General features: G+C 38.8%; 1 protein-coding gene across 4 annotated transcripts in view; it reads left to right on the forward strand.

Annotated features, from left to right (window-relative positions):
- NKAIN3 (sodium/potassium transporting ATPase interacting 3) overlaps nt 1-17,262 on the forward strand; it is a 750,799-nt gene that overhangs the window by 653,375 nt on the left and 80,162 nt on the right. For all 4 annotated transcript variants that reach the window (NR_130764.2, XM_017013359.2, NM_001304533.3 and 1 more), the window contains exon 5: nt 16,225-16,285. Coding sequence is in view for 3 of the 4 variants with exons in the window: in XM_017013359.2 (XP_016868848.1) it covers nt 16,225-16,285 (61 nt within the window). In the remaining variant the exon portion in view is untranslated. The remainder of the gene's footprint in view (nt 1-16,224; nt 16,286-17,262) is intronic.

The raw sequence follows: 17,262 nt of genomic DNA on the forward strand, positions 1-17,262 counted from the left end.
CCCCAAAATGAAAGGGGCACAAAAAGAGTCCAAATGCTCTAGTAAGCCAGAAACCAGATTCAAAATGAGTGGTAAGAACAAGGGTTTTAAGTAGCTAGAGGTTGAAGTCAATAGCTCAAGATGGGAATGTGGGACAGAGGTTGAATAAGCAAGTCTGAGGTCAGCCTGAATAGATACAGGCCAAGAGCTCCTGCCCAAGCCCAACTTTTACTCCAGTTTCTTGGGTCTGACTGCATTTAAATGATCAGGCATGGAGGAGGCAGAGCTCAGTGTAACCTAGATAATTTATAAGTCCCCATAGCCACAAAGACATGTATACTCAACCCAACCCAAGACCTTGCCTGTCACATTCTGACAAGACAAAAACCACTCTCTATCCTCAAAATATACTCGTAGTCATGTGACACATTTATGAATTCTCTTTTAGTTTACATTTTGGATTGTAAACGGGTAAATATTAGATGGAACTTTTCCTTGATAGAAGTATTTTTCTTCAAATGACCTCATAACACTCAGATATAATGATCCTATCAAACTAGCCACATAATACCATTGAAGAATTATTGAATTTGGCAATGTACACTTAGAAAAGTCCTACATGAAATGATCTACTTAAATAGGCCCCTTTACAAAAAAATCTTAGGCAATGTTCTTATTCCTTAATGACTTGCTACCAGAAATGCATTATCTTAGAACAAGGTTCTTTGTGAGTCAGGGTAACATCGATGTCCTCCATGATATTGCTGAGCTGGTGTGTGCAGAGTGTCTGCATCACAGAAGTATGTCACTGAAAGTCTTATCTTTCTTGGTAGAGGCCAGCGAATCATTTGTTTTTCATTTTGAAACTGTCTCCACAAGTGCTTCCCATACACATAAGGGCAGTAAATCCCCAGAGCTTGAATAAATGTGATGCTGTTTCTGTTGTGCATTTTTATGGTCATCGTGGAGAAAACAACTTATTTCCATATTCATTGATTCATTTGGAGTCCAGGGTGCCAGTGGGACTCTTAGAAGAGTGAACCAAATTTCTTCACATAATTTCAGGCTTCACTTGGCATAAGACACTTCCATAGAAGATGCAGCTCTAATTCTGGATTCCTGAAGGAACAGTAGGAGCAGCTTGATTAAAAACAAACAGATTAGGTATTACTGGGAGTCACACTCTCCCCAGAGTGATCCAAATAAATAAGAGGACCGTCTCTCCTAAGACTTCTTCCCCTGAGGATCCTAAGAGCCTAGACTTCTGTTCTGCTGGGCGCACAAGATAGCACAGATAGGCCTGGGTGACAGTTGCACTAAAAGGCCCTCTCGGGAGCCATAGAAAAAGAAATGTGGCCACAAAGCATGGGGAGATGAAACTGTCCACCTGCTGCCTCTTCTTCAGTCTCAGAGTTTCTTGATAAGCCCTCTAGAATAAGGAAGGATAAATATGCTGCCTGTATTAATCTGTTCTCACGCTGCTATGAAGAAATACCCAAGACTGGGTAATTTATAAAGGAAAGTGGTTTAATTGACTCACAGTTCATCATGGTTGGGGCAGACTCAGGAAACTTACAATCATGGCAGAAGGCACCTTTTCACAGGGTGGCGGGAGAGAGAATGAGTGCCAAGAGAAGGGGGAAGTCCCTGATAAAACCACAAGATCTCACGGGAACTCACTCACTATCATGAGAATGGCATGGGGGAAACCACCCCCATGATTCAATTATCTCTACCTGGTCCCACCTTTGACACATGGGGATTATTACAATTCAAGGTGAGATTTGGGTGGGGAAACAGAGCCAAACCATATTGCTGTCCAATCCACTGAGGGTGAACCCTTGGACAAAGCTGAGCCCTCAACCCCTTAGAAGATGGACTTGAAAGTTTCCCAAATTAGTAGCCACATGTTATGTATCTGGACATTCCGTTGTTTATCATCCTGACTTAGGACAAGAGGGTATGCTGAATTCAGGCTTGCTATGAGGGTTGGAACACTGCCTGCCTGATGAAAACTGCTGTATCAGTTCAACAGGGTGACTGGAAAAGTCTTATCCTATCATATTATTTCTCTCTCCCCAGTGAAGGAAGCAGTATGCATTCTGAAATATCCATAGCATTTTTGATATCTTTCAAGTGTTTGGTTTCATGTAAAATCAACCAAAGTTAACCCATAAATGAAAAGACTCTACTATCCTTTTTCTTTCCACATGTTTATACTTCATCCATCTGTTGAAGATGGTATTATATAATCATTGGCTTGTTCTCATCTTTAGTGCATGATCCACACAATATCAAAGCAAGGCAGCAAAAATCTGGAGAACTTATTGAATCATGGCAATAACTCTGATGCACACAAGCAGAGCTGGAGTTTACAGTGGCTGAGCAACATGGTGACCCACAAGGGAACTTCAGAATTGCTACCATGCTGGAGTTCTGAAATTCATCCACTGTATTTCAGACACCCTGGTTTTCCTCCCTTACCTCACTTTGCAATGCAATTCTTCTCATTTATTCATTCAGAAGCATTTGATGAAACATTCTTCTTAGCAGGCAGTGCTAAGTGTTAGAAATGCAAAGTTGAATTGAGAAAAAGCTCTCATCCTGAAAGAGCTTCATAGTAGAGACAAACATGTAAATAAGTATAATCACCATGCGAAATGTGCCTTATTCAAGGAGTATGATGATGTGTCAAAGTAGAGGAAGAAGCAGATTCTCTCCCTGATGGAGCTGGGGCAGGACTCTCAGAGGACACGATCTTTGCATCAGGTCTCTCGGAGGGTAGTTCCTGCCTTCCAGGACCTACTTAGAAGATAACGAATGGACACAATGCTGTGATACAAAGCAGTACCTTGAAGCTGCCATTACAGATATAAGAACAAAGTGCAGAGACTGTTCAGACTAGAGATGGATCAACTAAAAAAATCAAAGAAAGTGACATTTACAACTGGGCTTAAAGAATGAGAGGGTTTGTGCATGCAGAGATGTGAGAACAGGGTGAGGGGGTCATGGGAAAGCAAAGAATGGGGTGTACTCAGGGAGTTGGAGTACAGATGCATGGCAGAGGAGAGTGGAAGATAAGCCTTGGAGCCAGGCTGAAGCAGGATCATAAAGGGACTGGAAGTGGATAGCAAGTGCATATGCATTTGCACCAGTGAAACAATCTTTGTTACTGAGTACCTACCTCAAATTGTGAATAAAGATTTAAGAAGATGTGTATTGCCATCAAAATTCAAACATGCTATAATTGCTATAAAACTCACCTTTAAGAAAATAAAGAAACCTCACTGATTTCATATTTTTCTCCAGCGACTATCCTTTTTCTCCTCCTCTTTCAGTAAAACTCCTTGAAAGAACTGTTAATATTCTATTTTCTCTTGAACCTGCTCTGATCGGATTTTTGCCCTTCTCTCCACCAAAATGACCATAATTAAGACCACTGATGTCTTCCACTGGTCCAGTCCAGTGTTCAACGCTCACTCATTGTTCTTAACCAATCAGAGACCTTTAACACAGCCAATAGCCTCAATTTCTGTACCCCTCATACTTCTCTGGTCAGTCCTTTTTGGTCTCTTTTGCTGGTTTCTAGTCTTCTCTCCAATTGCTGAATGTTGTGATGCTCCAGAACTTCATCCATGGACCCCTTCTCTGACTTCACTCACTTCCTTAGTCACATGGCTTTAAATACCATCTACAGATATTCTATTAACCTCTACATGTGTCATTGCTCTTTACCTGAGAATTTCTCAGCGTTGTGCTTTCATCAAGCAACCTTCGTGCATGAGGTAACTTCTTCCCCATCTCACCCCCACAGAAAGTAGGCTGGCTTCACCTTACTGTGAAAACAGCACAGAATTTCCTTCCAGTAACACAACCCACAAGTGTGCGAGCATCCATCAAGGCCCAAGAGGCATGATAAATGGAGAAAAGAGATATGAAACTTGTGTTGCCCTCTGCACTGTGAATAAAAGTCCTCTGTTTCTGACCCAGCACCCATGGAACAGTAATAGACTAATTTGTTAATTTATAAGTAGGGTAAAATCCCTGCAAAGTTTCTGACATTAAGTAGCTATGCTTTCTCTTAGAAGTTACTTAATACCTTAACTGAAATACGTTACATATAGAAGCTTTCTATTCACAAATGTTCAACTTAATGACTTTCATTAGAATAAAGCTCTGCACAGAGCAGTGTGTCAGTCTCTGTCTGCCTCCCATAGGCAGACTTGGTGAAGGATTTCAGAGAGTCATTTTGAACTTGAGGATAAAATAACTAACAAGCAGTATTGTAGAACCTGTGTGATATGGTTTGGCTGTGTCCCCACCCAAATCTCATCTTGAATTGTAGCTCCAATAATTCTCACATGTCATGGGAGGGACCTGATGGGAGACAACTGAATCATGGGAGTGGGACTTTTCCATGCTGTTCTTGTGATAGTGAATAAGTCTCATGAGATCTGCTGGTTTTATAAAGGGGAGTTTCCCTGCACATGATTTCTTGCATGCCACCATGTAAGACATGATTTTACTCATCATTTGCCTTCTGCCATTATTGTGAGGCCTCCCCAGCCATGTGCAACTGTGAGTCAATTAAACCTCTTTCCTTTATAAATTGCCCAGTATTGGGTTGTATGTCTTTATTAGCAGTGTGAGAACAGACTAATACAGTAAATTGGTGCCAGGAGTGGAGTATTGCTGTAAAGATACCCAAAGATGTATAATCAACTTTGAAACTAGGTAACAGGCAGAGAGTGGAACAGTTCGAAGGGCTCAGAAGACAGGAAGGTGTGAAAAAGTTTGGAACTCCCTAGAGACTTATTGAATAACTTTGTTCAAAATGCTGATAGTGATATGGACAATGAAGTCCTGGTTGAGTAGTCTCAGATAGAGATGAGGAACTTGTTGGAAAGTAAAATAAAGGTGACTCTTGCTATGTTTAGCAGGTGGCATTTTGCCCCTGCCCTAGAGATCTGTAGATCTTTGAACTTGAGAGAGATAATTTAGGGTATCAGACGGAAGAAATTTCTAAGCAACAAAGCATTTAAGAGGTGATTTGGTGCTGCTAAGTATTAATATATTAATGTATTTATGTATTAATAAAGATATGGTTTGGAATTGGAACTTATGTTTAAAAGGGAAGCAGAGCATTAAAGTTCAGAAAATGTGCAGGCTGATGATGCAATTCAAAAGCAAAACCCATTTTCTGAGGAGAAATTCAAGCTGGCTGCAGAAATTTGTATAGAAGCCAAATGTTAATTGCTGGAACAATGGGGAAAATATCTCCAGGGCATTTCAGAGGTCTTCATGGCAGCGCCCCCCATAACAAGCTGGTAGGCCTAGGAGGAAAAAATGGTTTCATGGGCTGGGCCCAGGACCTTGCTGCTTTGTACAGTCCGGAGACTTGGTGCCCTGCATCCCAGTTGTGGCTAAAAGGGGCCAATGTACAGCTCAGGCTGTTGTTTCAGAGGGTGCAAGCCCCTAGCCTTGGCAGCATACACGTGGTATTGGGCTTGCAGAGGCACAGAAATTAAGAACTGAGGTTTGAGAACCTCCACCTAGATTTCAGAGGATGTATGGAAATACCTGGATGTCCAGGCAGAGGTGTGCTGCAGGAGCACAGCCCTCAAGGAGAATCTCTGCTAGTGCAGTGCACAAGGGAAATGTGCAGTGGGAATCCCCACACAGAGTCACCACTGGGGCAATGCCTAGTGGAGCTGTGAGATGAGGGCCACTGTCCTTCAGACCCCAGAATGGTAGATCCACTGACAGCTTGTACCATGGACCTGGAAAAGCCACAGACACTCATTGCCAGTCTATGAAAGCAGCCAGGATGGGGGTGATACCCTGCAAAGCCACAGCTGTGTAGCTGCTCAAGACCATGGGAACCCCCTCCCTTGCATCAGTGTGACCCGGATGTGAGACATGGAGTCAAAGGAGATCATTTTGGCGCTTACTGCCCTGCTGGATTTTGGACTTCCAAGGGGCCTGTAGCTCCTTTGTTTGGCCAGTTTCTCCCATTTGCAATAGGTGTATTTACCCAATGCCTGTACCCCCATTGTATCTTGGAAGTAATTAACATGCTTTTGATTTTACAGGCTCATAGGTGGAAGGGACTTGCTTTATCTCAGATGAGACTTTGGACTCTGGATTTTTGAGTTAATGCTGAAATGTGTTAAGACTTTGGGGGACAGTTGGGAAGGCATGATTCATTTTGAAATGTGAGGACATGAGATTTGGTAGGGGCCAGGAGTGGAATGTTATGGTTTGGCTGTGTCCCCACCCAAATCTCATCTTGAATTATAGCTCCTATAATTCCCACGTCATGGGAGGGACCCAGTGGGAGGTAGTTGAATCTTGGCTGTGGGTTTTTCCCATGCTGTTCTCATGATAGTGAATAAGTCTCACAATATCTGATGGTTTTATAAAGGGGAGTTCCCCTGCACACACTCTCTTGCCTCCCACCATGTAAGACATGACTTTTCCCCACCTTTGCCTTCTGCCATGATTGTGAGGCCTCCTCAGCCATGGAGCTGTGAGTCCATTAAACCTCTTTCCTTTATAAATTACCCAGTCTTAGGTATGTCTTTATTAGAAGCATGAGAACAGACTAATATACCATATATAAAATAGAGAAACATCTATCATTCCTTAAGGATTCTTTTAAGCTTTAAGGCTTCAATGTTGGTGTGAATGTGGGGAAACTTAGGAGAGTGACTGGGGAGTTATGTTGTTCAAGGATTCTTCTGCCTTTCTTCAAGCCCAGCAATCCTCTCATTGAATGCCTCTCTTCTCTGAGTTCCCTGGAGGACCTTTTTTAATCCCTCTATTTCACATAACAGTGGTCACTAAAGACACATGATTTCAGGGATGACTCAATTTTTTAATTCATTCTTAATAAGATTCACAACTAGCAGGACACACAGCAAATGGTTATCCTCCTAGTACCTACAGGTGTGAAACCTAATCTAGTCAATTCTTATACAAGGCCTGCAGGTCAAAACAAACCAATCCCACATACAAATCCTATTTGCAAAAACTAATCAATCTCTTAACAAAAAGTGGAGTTAGAATGTAGCTTTATGTCATTTGCATTAATTAAATATATCAAAGAAGATGGAATGTATGCTATCAGAATTTACAATATAGAGAAGAAAGTCATTTTAAATTATATAACTACAGAAATGGATACCTTTAGTGAAAGACAAAAGTTGTCTTTAAAATGAATGACTCTTTCCAAATTTTATTAAAAGCAGAGATAATCAAGACTGTTGTGCTGATGTTATTTACTTTGCCTGTGTTTGTTATTGGCAAGAATGCATTTTCCATTTCTTGTAGACAAGCAGAAAGCCACAGAGACTATTTAAATTCAAATTCTGGGAAATCAAGAACTACACAACAGTCAGCCATCTACAAATTGATGATCAACATGATGTCTAGACAGTTTCTCATGAGGGCAACATTATTAATTAAGCAGCAGTTTGGTTAATCACAATAGCAAAAGTAATTTTTGGAGTAAATATTTCATGAGTATGCCCATCAATAAGGCAAAAGTAAAAGGAAATGTTTTAATTAATTCATTTATAATAATATAGAGATTATGGTTGGCAAATTCTGTTTGAGGACTTGAAGAATGATTTAATATTTCTAGTATGGCATGTCATTGTCTTATTGTTTTCAGCTAATGGTACTGTCTATCTCCATTGCCTGGCCAAAAATTCTTTCATGTCATCTATCAAGACAATATTAAGGTCCATTAGTGAATAGTTAGATCTGACAAATTTTTTCTTGCTATACATTGTTCTGTTCTTTTAAAACTGTGCATTCCTACATTTATCAGTAAGAAAATATTCACTGGATAGGGAGACATAACATGCTTCCATGTTAAGAAACTAACCTTACTTTCTGTCCATCAAAAGACTTGTTATTTGGAAAAGGAAAAATAAATAAATTGACCAGTTCTCTTTAGCACATAGACAATGAATCTTTTCAGAAAATGCAGTTAAACCAATATTTTTATAATAATCCATGGTCTTAAAATTATAAGAAAGAAATATAAGTTACATAGAACTTAAGTAAACACATATTTCTGAAAAAATTATCCAAAGAGCTTACTCTCTTTTGCCTTCATAAAAGTTCATCTATAACCATCTTCACATACATAGCTTGCTTCATGTCTCATCCTACTCCCAAACCTCTCTTTGAATTTCAACTGTATTTACTTGAAGGATAAAATGAAGACTAAAAAGCTTGCATTTATTTTTCAATGTTAGTCATCTGGTCAACATCTTCATTTTTAGCCTAGAAGAAAGTGTGCATTAAAATCACATAAAAATTTCCTGCAACAAGTACAATTTTATTTTATATTATACAGATTTCTTAGAGGGTATTTAGATTTTTATCCTTAAATATATGAATATGTATAACAAAATAATATATGGTTCAACTACTAACAGTTAATACTTTCCAGTCCTCTTACAACAGTGGAAAGATAATTTAGTAGAGGGTGGTATACACTTAGTTTCAGGTCAAGATTCTTCCATCGGGACAGGATTTTTTTTTTTTTCAAGGGAAATTGGTCTCCTGTTGGATTTCCAGGCTCAACTCCATCAAATTAACTCTACATATTGATATGTGAAAACAATGTATCAGCATGACTGAGTTTGTTCTCAAGAGACGTTCTCATCAATCCTCAGGCCTTTCTTCCAGTAAATGCCAATGGATGAACCAGTAAATGCTGATGGACCAACCAATAAATGCTGATGGACTCCAGCATGACAAATTGAATGAGCCAATATTAGAAAACACCAAAATACGTATTTCCTGTCAAAGAGGCTAACAATATGTTAACGTATACTTTAGGCATCATTCTCATATTGAAAAACATCAAAAAAGACAAAATAATAATTCGCTTTAAGTCAATATAAAGGTGTGGGTAGAAGTATTATATTTTTTCCAAAAAAGAGGGAGGCAATGTATTAGAACATTAGAAAATAATATTCGTTGTGGCATTAAGCTATCATGAAGACTTTAGCTTTACACTGGAAAAGTCCCATAGTACTCAATCAAAACATTTTGATATATCTTTGCTTACCTCTCACCTATATGCATGAAAAAATAATGATTTGTGGGATTTAACTTACCTGAGTTTGTTGTGGAGGAATAATCATTGGAATACAAAAACTATCAAGCAACTATGGGCTTACGATCCAATAAGCAACTTCCAAGATAGAATTCGCAATGCATCATCTAAATTTCTGTCTATAGGCAAAACAACAGAACTCCTCGTTCGGAAATTTTCCATTGCAGCCTGATTCCTCCATTCTGTTACTATCCTTCTCCTTCCTTGCAGTGACACTGAAAGAAAATCCAGAGTGTCAGTCATTTTAGTCACAGTTTATAGGAAGAGACTCTTGATCTGCCTGGCTGCTGCTTGGTCTAGCTCTTTAGGTTTCAAAAGAAATCTGGTTTATCCATGTTTATGACACTAGAACTCATGTTGCCCAAACTTACTGAACTATTTTTCAAGCTAAAGGATCATCTTTGAAGTAAGTTCTCCAAAGTAATGAATTCAAAGAGGTATACAAAGTAACAACAGAAAATGCATGTATCAAAAGGTGTACACAGGATAATCCGTGGAAGCATGGGAAGTTGCAGCTTCTTTTTCTATTTATTTTTTATCTAAAAACCTAAGGAACATTAGCTTGTAACAATATCTGACTTATAGTTTAACACTGGTAGCCTCACTAGGCCCACATGCCAGAAGGTCATATGTCACTTAACTACAGGGATACATTCTGAGAAATGCGGCCTTAGGCGATTTCATCATTGTGTGAACATCATAGAGTTTACTTACACAGAACTAGGTGGTGTAGCTGACTACACACCTAGGCTACAAACCTCTATAGCACTGTTACTGTACTGAATACTATAGGCAATTGTAACACAATGGTAAGTATTTATGTATCTAAATATATCTAAATATAGAAGAAGTACAGTAAAAATATGGTATAACACATAAAAGTTAATAAGCCTGTATATTGATAAGCACTTACCATAAATGGAGCTTGCAGGACTGGAAGTTGCTCTCGGTAAGTTGGTGAGGGAGCGATGGGTGAATGTGAAGGCCTAGGATGTTACTCCACACTGCTGTAGACTATAAACACTGTACACTTAGGCTATACTACATTTAATTTTTAAATTTACTTTCTTCAATAATAAATTCATTTTAGCTTACTGTAACATTTTTACTTTATAAACCTTTTAAAGAACCTTTTGACTCTTAAAATATCACTTAGCTTGTAACACAAACACATCGACCTTCTGCAGCTGTACAAAAATATTTTTTCTTTACATCCTTATTTATAAGCCCTTTTCTATTAATTTTTTTTAACTTTTTAAACTTCTTTGTTAAAAACTAAGATCCAGCTGGGTGCAGTGGCTCACGCCTCTAATCCCAACACTTTGGGAGGCTGAGGAGGACGGATCACCTGAGGTCGGGAGTTCAAGATCAGCCTGACCAACATAGAGAAACCCCATCTCTACTAAAAATACACAATTCGCCAGGCATGGTGGTGCATGCCTGTAATCCCAGCGACTCGGGAGGCTGAGGCAGGAGAATCCCCTGAACCCAGGAGGCAGAGGTTTTGGTGAGCTGAGATTGCACTATTGCACTCCAGCCTGGGCAACAAGAGCAAAACTCTGTCTCAAAAAAAAAAGGAAAGAAAAAACTGAGATCCAAACACACACATTAGCCTCAGCCTAATCATCAGTGTCACTGGGATCAGTATCATCAATATCACTGTCTTCTCCATCCACATCCTCTTTCACGGGAAGGTGTTTCAGGGGCAATAACAGGCATGGAGCTGTCATCTCCTATGATCTCCTATGATAACAATGCCTTCTGAAACACCTTCTGAAGGAACTGCCTGAGGCTGTTTTGCATTGAACATTTTTTTTTTTTAGATAGAAGGACTACACTCTACAGTAAGAAGTATAGTATAAATACATAAACCAGTAGCATCATTGTTTACTATCAATATCAAGTATTATATACTATATGTATTTGTGTTTGCTATACTTTTATATGATTGGCAGCACAGTAGGTTTGTTTACAACAGCATTAGCACAAATATGTGAGTGTTGCATGTGCTCTGATGTCACAACAGCTACAATGTCAATAGGAATTTTCAGCCCCATTATAATTTCATAAGACCACCATTATTTATGTGGTTCATCACTGACGGAAATGCTGTTATGCGATGCGTGACTATGCTAGCAGCAACCTGTGTGGAGCAAAACTCCATACTATAATGCAGTTAGCAGTGACGATCGTGTTGGGTGTATTGAGATGAATTACAATCTCTGTGCAGGATTTAGTAGATTTACAGATTATATTATCTGTTTTTAAGAAAACTAATGTTCACAAAATTTCAAGTGGCAAAGACGTTATCTTGGAAGAATCCATGCATTAAAGATAAAACTAATTATGGACACAAATGAATTATTTTAATAGCAGAGTTGACAGGTGTCCTCCTCTTAGTACAAGCTCCCTGTCAAGTACAATGCAAAATAAAAACAACAATGATCTAATCAAAGTGAAAAGACAATACCCCCAGAATTTGAAATTGTCAAGAAAACTGTTTGAAATGTGCTATTTAAAATAATTACGATCTGTTTATACACTTTTGGTGGGAGAGTAAATTAGGTCAACCGTCGTGAAAATCGGCGTGGCAATTCCTCAAAGAGCAAAAAGCAGAACTACCATGAAACCCAGCAATCCTGTTACTGGGTATATACCCAAAGGAATATAAATCACTCTATTATAAAGAGACATGCACGCCTATGTTTATTGCTGCACTATTCTCAATAGTAAAAACACGGAATCAACCCAAATACCCATCAATGATAGACTGGATAAAGAAATTGTGGTACATATACTCCATGGAATACTATGCAACCATAAAAAATAACGAAATCGTATCTTTTGTGGGAAAATGGATGGAGCTGGAGGCTATTTTCCTTAGCAAACTAATGCAGGAACAGGAAACCAAATATCACATGTTCTCACTTATAAATGAGAGCTAAATGATAAGAACTTATGAACACAAAGAAAGAAACAATAGACACTGGGGCCTACTTGAGGGTAGAGGATGGGAGGAAGAAGAGGAGCAGAAAAGATAACTATTGGGTACTGGACTTAATACCTGCGTGATGAAATAATCTGTACAACAAACCCCTGGCACATGTTTGCCTATGTAACAAGCCTTCACATGTACCCCCAAACCTAAAATAAAAGTTAAATAAATAAATAAAATAATTATGTTCTGCTTTTAGGATATATATTTGTAGGTAGGATAAAACATGGACTAGATGTACAAACACCAGATTGATGATCGTAGTTTTCTCCCCAATATCAAAAGATGGCATTTGCTGACAAGAATGGATTGCTATGAACTGTGACTTGTCAAATATTCCTCTCATCATTTTTTAAAATTAGGATGTCATAATCATACTTCATACATTAAAACTTAAGTAATTTTCTTTTTTTAAGTTTTTTGAGCAGTTACTGTAATCTTTTTTTTTTTTTTTTTTTGCTATTATACTTTAAGTACTGGGATACATGTGCAGAACATGCAGGTTTCTTACATAGGTATGCATGTGCCATGGTGGCTTGCTGCACCCATCAACCTGTCATTTAGGTTTTAAGCCCCACATGCATTAGGTATTTGTCCTAATGCTCTCCCTCTCCTTGCCCCCCCACAGGCCCTGGTGTGTGATGTTGCCCTCCCTGTCTCCATGTGTTCCCATTGTTCAACTCCCACTTATGAGTGAGAACATGAGATGTTTGGTTTTCTGTTCCTGTGTAAGACTTAAGCAATTTTCTCAGTGTCATTTCTCCATCTCCACTGTGGCCTAAATTGTGCAGAACCTGCTGCGAGTCTAAATATGAGTTCACAGATGTGATAGGCAGAATAACAGTTCCCTAAAGATTTCCACGTCCTCATCTCTGGAACCTGTGAATAAATCATTGCACATGGCAAACGAGAATGAATAAAGGTTGCAGATAAAATTGATTGATAATCATGTGACCTTAACATGGAGGAATTGTCCTAAGTTGTCCAGGTGTGTCCAGCATCCTTAACAGTAGGACAGGAAGGCAGGGGAGGAAGGACCAGGGAGATGGCAGCCTGAGACAGAATCAGTAGCTAAGGAACACAGGCATCCTCTAGTAGCTGAAAAAGGCAAGGAAACAGAGTTTGCCAGATCTTCCAGGAGTACAGCCCTGCTGACACCTTGATTTTAGCCTCGTAAGGCCCATTTCAGACACCTGGCCTTCAGAACTGTAAGATTTGTGTTGTTTTAAGTCACTAAGTTTGCAGCAATCTCTTACAGCAGCAACCGAAAACTAATGCAAGAGAGTTCTTGATTTACATGTATGCATGCTTGCAGGTATACACATATACACACACACCCCTAAGGGAGAACCCACCAAGAACTAGAAAGTTGTTTGCTGGCAAAAGCCTTCTAACATATGGTTTAGTAAGAAAATGTCCCGACGTTATGAAACCATCACTATCACAGGCCAACATAAAGAAACAAAAATTTGCAACAAATACAGCAAAGGCTTTTTCCCCCATAAGACCTCATATAAATTAATGAAAGCAAGATCAAGTTAATAAATGAGCAAAAAACCTCTGAGGTAATTCACAAAATAAAAAACATAAATGGCTAATAAAATATGAAAATACATCAGATGAAAAAGAACTATTGCAAAAATAAATAAATGAAGAGATGCCATTTTGTTTATTTTCTTGGCATGTATCTTTAAGTGGAACTCTCCTATGGTATGGAAAAGCAGGCATTGTCAGTCACTGCTGTGATAGGATAGATGATACAAACTTTCCAAAAACCAATAATGTGTAAAAAATAGTCATAAAAATATTCAATGGCACTTCTGAAATAATAATTTTACCTCTGGGAATCAGATCATCAAAAATTCAGGAAAAGCATTAATATTTTTCACAATATTATTTATAACTTGAAAACAACTTTCAATAATAGAACATTAATACATAGCAGTATATTTAAATAATACAAATTTATGTAGTCATTAATAATTAAGCTTATGAAGAGTATTAACTTGGGTCATAAGAGTATAAGTGATATATAGCAACTGCAAGAGAGAAAGATTGGAGAGAAATCTATTGTAAAGTTATTAGTGATGGGATTAGGGACCATTTCTTTCTTGTGTATGTAACTGGTTTACTGAATGGGTTGGTAGAATACAGTTGAAAGGCAATTTTGTTTGTTCTCTCACTGTCCCTTCAAGTACACATTACGGCTTTGTTCAGTCTCACCCTTTGGATCATATTTCAAGCAGAATTTATAGCTCTTTTAGCTCCTCAGAGATATTAAATATCTAGTCCAGGTTACTGCAAATTCTCATCCACTTAAAAACTCTCCCGCTCAGCTTGGGCCTGATTTCAACTTGCAGATTTGCAGAGAGGAAGGAACACAACACTGCTTCCTCCTCTTCTCACCCCACTTCTCTCACTGTTCCTCTGCGTTATCGTGGGGATGAAGTAGAAGGAGAAATGATGGGAGAAAAGGAGGAAACAAGGTGTTAGCATGACGGGTTCCATTGTAATCTGGCAGGGATACTCTCTGAGTGTGACAGCTCCCACACGCTCATGCTTCTTCTTGTGGGGTGCTTTTAGGGGTTCTTCAGAATCCCACCCCACCCCCCTTTAGGATCCCTACCTGTTTCTCGGATGATCAGCCTCCCTGGTTTGCCACTTTGCACCCCTACTTGGCTTCTATAGCCAAAGTACCACCATCCTTCTTCTGAGGTCACCTGCCCTACCAGGAAGTCCTCTGGGATGGCTCCAACTCCAGAACAGCACAGGAAGATCTCTCCAGAGGCCTTACCCCCAGGCTAAGGGCACACACACACATCCTGCCCTGCCAATTCCACCCAGTCCTGTCTCCACACACTGTAACCAAAAGCCCCTCTAGACACAGCCTCTTGCCTTCTGACTCTTCCAAGTGTGAGTTGGGTGCCAAGCCCCATGCTTCCCAAAATGTAAGAAATGTTAAGCTCCCCAAGTGCTTTCGCAGCACCCCCTCACCTGGCTTGAGGTGAGAGGAGGTGCCCGCTGGGTGGGAGGAACCATCAGCACCCTGGCAGATTTCTCTGTAAGTCCTTCTCCTAAGACCTCACCCTAAACTTTTCCCTAACCTCTCACCCTCTCAGGGCTTCTTGGCCTTTGTCCAGACAGTCCAGAGATGGATGACAAGCTCAGGGTCCTAATTCACATGGGCAGTCAAAAGCCCCAGATATCTTGTTCTCTGCATTGGAAACTTTAGCCTTTGACACCAGGACTATCAGAAAAAGTTTCTTTTCCCGGTATTATTTTATAATGGGGTTAAAGGGTAGAAACAAACGTTAACAAAGACAAGAAGATAAACTATAGCAGCTATCAAGTATCTATTTTTCATACCTATTGAAGTGCTTATAGTAAGTATTTTTAGACTGGACTAGATTCATAGACAATTTTGTCCTCTAGGAACTGCAGTGTCTTTGGCTCCATGGAATAAAAATCGTCCTCTTAGCATCATAAATGCAGAGGTTAAATTCTACTCCTGCATTTATTCTCTGAATTACTAGTATCCAAAGTACAAATCATCTCTTCTGTTTTATTTTATCACTACTGAATCACCAGCAAGTTAACGTGTTTTCTTGTGGTTTGATTAACAAAGCAATTTAGTATCCAAATATGATTTACATTCCCAGAGCATTTTAAATAATTAAGTAGATGATTGGTATTTAATTTATAAGCAACATGTTTTGATTCCTTCTGTAGCTTTTAAACTTTAAAATAGTTATAGTTAATTAGTGCTAGTACAAAATGCTCAATCATCAGAAAAAAATCAAAACTTTAAAATGGATTTCTTAATAATCTTTGCTGATTATAAAATACAGGAACTGTAAGTCCCAAATCAAAATCTAAGTGAAATATCTAGAAACTGGTTTCTTCCCCCATTTCTGTGTACTTTTTAGAAAGCTATTAAGGCTGCATAGAAATGAAAAGGCTCTTTTAAAATCACAGCTATCATTTTAAAAGAGTTTTTCCACTGCAAACTCTTAAAAGTTGCTCATAAATATTTATCTTTATTAGATTATATTGGCTCTTTAAGTATGGAAACTTGGCATAGATTCTTAAGGTACACATTTTTTCCCTTTTGCAGTTGGTGGGTTTTGTGTATGCCTGTTATGTGATCAGTATTTCCATGGAAGAAGAAGACACATGTAAGTACTGTTTTCTCTCTCCCTGTGGGTTCCTTTTGAATGAGATACAGCTTCCAAAACTAATCATTACAGGGCTATGAAATGAAATCTTTTATATTTGGAGTCTAAAATGATTGAACTCAGCACACTAAAGTTACAGTCAAAAGTTGACAGACTGAATTGCACACAAATAAGGTGACACTACATATAGAAACACTCAATTTGTGAGAGCACGTGCAGAGACTTAGAAGGACAAGGACTGCTGTCATATCATATATTAGCAACTTTTCATCAGACACCTAACCATTATGCCGAGTAGACAGTCAGCGGTTGTTTTACCTATTACCAATTTTAGGCATGTTGGTGGCAGAATTTTGAAGTCTGAGTAACAGTAATGATATCAATACAATAATACATTACAGAAAGATCTATATGTATATAAACCATATAAAATGCAATGAAAAAAACTAAAATTTACAACCTTCCAGATGAGATGCAAAAAAAAAAAAATTTACGAGGTGCTAAAAAAAAGTTAATGGGATGCTTAAAAGCTAAATCATGTTTTAACAGAACACCCAAAGGAAAAACATTTATTAATATTATGACCTGAAGTTATATGATAGAGCTTTAGCACCATAGGTCAACAAATGACTTTCATTGAGTACCTGCTGATGTATAAGACACTTCTTGGCACAACTCTGTTAGGGACTCACTTTTTTTTATTTACTTTCAAAATTTTTTTTTTTTTTTTTTTTTTTTTTTTTTTTTTTGAGACGGAGTCTCCCTCTGTCGCCCAGGCTGGAGTGCAGTGGCGTGATCTCAGCTCACTGCAAGCTCCGCCTCCCAGGTTCACACCATTCTCCTGCCTCAGCCTCCTGAGTGGCTGGAACTACAGGCACCCGCCACCATGTCCGGCTAATTTTTTTGTATTTTTAGTAGAGAAGGGGTTTCACCGTGTTAGCCAGGATGGTCTCGATCTCCTGACCTCGTGATCCACC

Source organism: Homo sapiens, chromosome 8 (genome assembly GCF_000001405.40).
Source record: "Homo sapiens chromosome 8, GRCh38.p14 Primary Assembly".
NCBI lineage: Eukaryota > Metazoa > Chordata > Mammalia > Primates > Hominidae > Homo > Homo sapiens.